The sequence below is a fragment of the Homo sapiens genome, chromosome 4 (genome assembly GCF_000001405.40).
Source record: "Homo sapiens chromosome 4, GRCh38.p14 Primary Assembly".
Classification (NCBI taxonomy): Eukaryota; Metazoa; Chordata; class Mammalia; order Primates; family Hominidae; genus Homo; species Homo sapiens.
Window position 1 is genome coordinate 187,859,185 of NC_000004.12, and position 5,692 is coordinate 187,864,876.

Sequence of the window (5,692 nt, forward strand, 5' to 3'; positions counted from 1 at the left end):
ATTTTTGCATCAATGTTCATCAAGGATATTGGTCTAAAATTCTCTTTGTTGGTTGTGTCTCTGCCCGGCTTTGGTACCAGGATGATGCTGGCCTCATAAAATGAGTTAGAGAGGATTCCCTCTTTTTCTATTGATTGGAATAGTTTCAGAAGGAATGGTACCAGTTCCTCCTTGTACCTCTGGTAGAATTTGGCTGTGAATCCATCTGGTCCTGGACTCTTTTTGGTTGGTAAGCTATTGATTATTGCCACAATTTCAGCTCCTGTTATTGGTCTATTCAGAGATTCAACTTCTTCCTGGTTTAGTCTTGGGAGAGTGTATGTGTCGAGGAATTTATCAATTTCTAGATTTTCTAGTTTATCTCCGTAGAGGTGTTTGTAGTAATCTCTGATGGTAGTTTGTATTTCTGTGGGATCGGTGGTGATATCCCCTTTATCATTTTTTATTGCATCTATTTGATTCTTCTCTCTTTTCTCTTTATTAGTCTTGCTAGCGATCTATCAGTTTTGTTGATCCTTTAAAAAAACTAGCTCCTGGATTCATTAATTTTTTGAAGGGTTTTTTGTGTCTCTATTTCCTTCAGTTCTGCTCTGATTTTAGTTATTTCTTGCCTTCTGCTAGCTTTTGAATGTGTTTGCTCTTGCTTTTCTAGTTCTTTTAATTGTGATGTTAGGGTGTCAATTTTGGATCTTTCCTGCTTTCTCTTGTGGGCATTTAGTGCTATAAATTTCCCTCTACACACTGCTTTGAATGTGTCCCAGAGATTCTGGTATGTTGTGTCTTTGTTCTCGTTGGTTTCAAAGAACATCTTTATTTCTGCCTTCATTTCGTTATGTACCCAGTAGTCATTCAGGAGCAGGCTGTTCAGTTTCCATATAGTTGAGCGGTTTTGAGTGAGTTTCTTAATCCCGAGTTCTAGTTCGATTGCACTGTGGTCTGACAGACAGTTTGTTATAATTTCCATTCTTTTACATTTGCTGAGGAGAGCTTTACTTTCAACTATGTGGTCAATTTTGGAATAGGTGTGGTGTGGTGCTGAAAAAAATGTATATTCTGTTGATTTGGGGTGGAGAGTTCTGTAGATGTTTATTAGGTCCACTTGGTGCAGAGCTGAGTTCAATTCCTAGGTATCCTTCTTAACTTTCTGTCTCGTTGATCTGCCTAATGTTGACAGTGGGGTGTTAAAGTCTCCCATTATTATTGTGTGGGAGTCTAAGTCTCTTTGTAGGTCACTCAGGACTTGCTTTATGAATCTGGGTGCTCCTGTATTGGGTGCATATATATTTAGGAGAGTTAGCTCTTCTTGTTGAATTGATCCCTTTACCATTATGTAATGGCCTTCTTTGTCTCTTTTGATCTCTGTTGGTTTAAAGTCTGTTTTATCAGAGACTAGGATTGCAACCCCTGCCTTTTTTTGTTTTCCATTTGCTTGGTAGATCGTCCTCCATCCTTTTATTTTGAGCCTATATGTGTCTCTGCACAAGAGATGGGTTTCCTGAATACAGCACACTGATGGGTCTTGACTCCTTATCCAATTCGCCAGTCTGTGTCTTTTAATTGGGACATTTAGTCCATTTACATTTAAAGTTAATATTGTTATGTGTGAATTTGATCCTGTCGTTATGATGTTAGCTGGTTATTTTGCTCGTTAGTTGATGCAGTTTCTTCCTAGTCTCGATGGTCTTTACATTTTGGCATGATTTTGTGGCGGCTGGTACCGGTTGTTCCTTTCCATGTTTAGTGCTTCCTTCAGGAGCTCTTTTAGGGCATGCTCGGTGGTGACAGAATCTCTCAGCATTTGCTTGTCTGTAAAGGATTTTATTTCTCCTTCACTTATGAAGCTTAGTTTGGCTGGATATGAAATTCTGGGTTGAAAATTCTTTTCTTTAAGAATGTTGAATATTGGCCCCCACTCTCTTTGGGCTTGTAGAGTTTCTGCCAAGAGATCCGCTGTTAGTCTGATGGGCTTCCCTTTGTGGGTAACGTGACCTTTCTCTCTGGCTGCCCTTAACATTTTTTCCTCATTTCAACTTTGGTGAATCTGACAATTATGTGTTTTGGAATTGCTCTTCTCGAAGAGTATCTTTGTGGCGTTTTCTGTATTTCCTGAATCTGAATGTTGGCCTGCCTTGCTAGATTGGGGAAGTTCTCCTGGATAATATCCTGCAGAGTGTTTTGCAACTTGGTTTCATTTTCCCCATCACTTTCAGGTACACCAATCAGACGTAGATTTGGTCTTTTCACATAGTCCCATATTTCTTGGAGGCTTTGTTCGTTTCTTTTTATTCTTTTTTCTCTAAACTTCCCTTCTCTCTTCATTTCATTCATTTCATCTTCCATCACTGTTACCCTTTCTTCCAGTTGATCGCATCGGCTCCTGAGGCTTCTGCATTCTTCACGTAGTTCTCGAGCCTTGGCTTTCAGCTCCATCAGCTCCTTTAAGCACTTCTCTGTATTGGTTATTCTAGTTATACATTTGTCTAAATTTTTTTCAAAGTTTTCAACTTCTTTGCCTTTGGTTTGAATTTCCTCCTGTAGCTCAGAGTAGTTCGATCGTCTGAAGCCTTCTTCTCTCAACTTGTCAAAGTCATTCTCCATCCAGCTTTGTTCCGTTGCTGGTGAGGAACTGCGTTCCTTTGGAGTAGGAGAGGTGTTCTGCTTTTTAGAGTTCCCAGTTTTTCTGCTCTGTTTTTTCCCCATCTTTGTGGTTTTATCTACTTTTGGTTCTTGATGATGGTGATGTACAGATGGGTTTTTGGTGTGGATGTCCTTTCTGCTTGTTAGTTTTCCTTCTAACAGACAGGACCCTCAGCTGCAGGTCTGTTGGAGTTTGCTAGAGGTTCACTCCAGACCCTGTTTGCCTAGGTATCAGCAGCGGTGTCTGCAGAACAGCGGATTTTCATGAACCGCAAATGCTGCTGTCTGATCGTTCCTCTGGAAGTTTTGTCTCAGAGGAGTACCCGGCCATGTGAGGTGTCAGTCTGCCCCTACTGGGGGGTGCCTTCCAGTTAGGCTGCTCGGGGGTCAGGGGTCAGGGACCCACTTTAGGAGGCAGTCTGCCCGTTCTCAGATCTCCAGCTGCATGCTGGGAGAACCACTGCTCTCTTCAAAGCTGTCAGACGGGGACATTTAAGTCTGCAGAGGTTACTGCTGTCTTTTTGTTTGTCTGTGGCCTGCCCGCAGAGGTGGAGCCTACAGAGGCAGGCAGGCCTCTTTGAGCTGTGGTGGGCTCCACCCAGTTCGAGCTTCCTGGCTGCTTTGTTTACCTAAGCAAGCCTGGGCAATGGCAGGCGTCCCTCCCCCAGCCTCACTGCCGCCTTGCAGTTTGATCTCAGACTGCTGTGCCAGCAATCAGCGAGACTCCATAGGCATAGGACCCTCCGAGCCAGTTGCGGGATGTAATCTCCTGGTGCGTCATTTCCTGAGCCCGTTGGAAAAGTGCAATATTCGGGTGGGAGTGACCCGATTTTCCAGGTGCCGTCTGTCACTCCTTTCCTTGACCAGGAAAGGGAACTCCCTGATCCCTTGCGCTTCCCGAGTGAGGCAATGCCTCGCCCTGCTTCGGCTGGTGCACGGTGTGCTGCACCCACTGTCCTGCGCCCAGTGTCTGGCACTCCCTAGTGAGATGAACCTGGTACCTCAGGTGGAAATGCAGAAATCACCCGTCTTCTGTGTCACTCACGCTGGGAGCTGTAGACCAGAGCTGTTCCTATTCGGCCATCTTGGCTCCTCCCCCCCTTGTAAGGTCTTGAACAGAGGAGGGATAAAAGATAAAATTCAACTCCTGTGTTACAAACATTGTTCTAGTGCTGTTTAGGAAATCGTCTGAAAGAGGAGAAGAGTGATACCAGGAAGGCCAATTAGGAGGTTAATGAAAAAACATTAGCCCAAAATGATGGTGCCTTAGACCAGGGTGGCAGTCGTGAAGACGGCAAAAAGTAATTTTGTAAATATTTATATAAAGTAGAACTGCCATGATTTACTGACAAGCTAATGTGGCGTGTAAAAGGGTTTTGGCCTGGGTAACTGACAGAATGGATTTGCCTTTAGTCAAGATGAAGTAGAGTGAGTTTGGTTGGGGAAGGATGGAAAATACCAGGCATTCAGTTTGAAATGCACAATTTGTCATTCAAGTAGAAGTGAAAAGTAGGCAGTTGGACATACAAATTTAAACTTCTGAAAAACTTAACAAACTAGAGATATAAATTTAACATAATCAAAAATAGGTAGTATTCAAAGCCAAGAGTGAGCATACATAGAAGAAAGAAACCCGGGAACTCATTCCTGGAACTCCAACACATCAAAGTAAAGGAGATGAGGAAGAACTAGCAAAGAGAGTAAGAACAGCTGGAGACGCAGAAAGAAAAGCAAGAGAATACAGTGCTCTAAAGTCCAAGAAAGCTCTTCATGAAGAGTATGTGGGCCCCATATACCTGATTAGCCACGTAAAATGGGGACTCAGCATGACCCAGCGGTTTCAGTCACACGGAGGGCAGAGGCAAAAATGGGCAGCCGGTATAGGCGCACGACGGACAGCACACTTCATGATGACACTTTGGAAGCAGCTTCACTGAATTTTCAGGGAAAGACAAACATGCCCTCTTTCATCTCTTCTAGTCACAAGTGTACCAGAGCTTAACGACAACAACAACAAAACAGGAAAAACAAATGAAGTACAAGAAGTGGATGGAAAGAGGTAAAAACTCTTCTCTGCTGTTTATATGATGTCTGTATACAAAATCCAAGATAATCTACAGATAAACACTTAGAAACTGATAAGAGATTTTAAAATGTATTAGATTCAAGATTAGCATGCTTGAATCAAACTATTCTACCATACTAAATAAAAACATACTTTTTCCATTAACTTCCTATAAGCAGTTACGTGCTGGTTACTTGAAGACAGGAAAGGAAAGAGAGACACCTGATATGCGGTGATTGCTGATTTCCAAGGTGCAACTTCTCCTCCCACAGCCCATTTGAAGCTACCAGTGTAATGTCACTGAAGCAGAACTGCCAATAGTTGCACGTAACTGGCCCTTGCAAACTGGTGTCAGCGCCAGCACACCACTGCAAATCAACTAAAATGTTGAATAAAGAAAACATCACATTCATAGATGTTATCAAAACTACAAGATCTATTTTAAAAAACTAACCAAATGGCAATAACATGCAGAGATCTTTTTTAAAAAATGTTTTAAATTAAGAACGGAATACTTCAGAAAAAGTAATACTAATGGCAGGGAAGAATTGATATTGTTGATGCCAATTCACCCCAAATAATTATAATTTCAGCACAGTTATAATCAAATCTCAACAGAGAATCTTCAAATTCATTTGAAAGAGGAAGTGGTCAAAAATAATTGAGACAGTTTTTAAGAACAACAAGGTAGGGTGACTTGCACTACTAAAAAATAAATCCCTAAATACTTGATATTGATGTTAGGATGAACAAATAAAACAATGTAACCGAATAGAGAGCCCATAAACAGTTATTTTTAGAAACCTGATATATACCAGATGTGGTATTACTAATTAGTGTGGAAAGAGTGGCCTCTCAATCGATGGTTCTGAGGCTATTGAATTTCCATATGGGAAAATAAACAAAATTCAAATTTCTCTAAGACAAGAAAAAAATAATCCACCAAGAACAAACTGAACAAATTGCAAAATATAACAAAGGGTAATTATC

At 41.5% G+C, this 5,692-nt stretch overlaps 1 annotated feature.

Moving 5' to 3' along the window:
• Positions 4,277-5,476: an enhancer, noted in NCBI's record as "MED14-independent group 3 enhancer chr4:188784615-188785814 (GRCh37/hg19 assembly coordinates)". NCBI's record gives its function as "activates an origin of replication core promoter dependent on BRD2, BRD4, P300/CBP and CDK7 cofactors, and independent of MED14, by STARR-seq in HCT116 cells {active_cell/tissue: HCT116}" and the evidence as "EXISTENCE:reporter gene assay evidence [ECO:0000049][PMID:35650434]".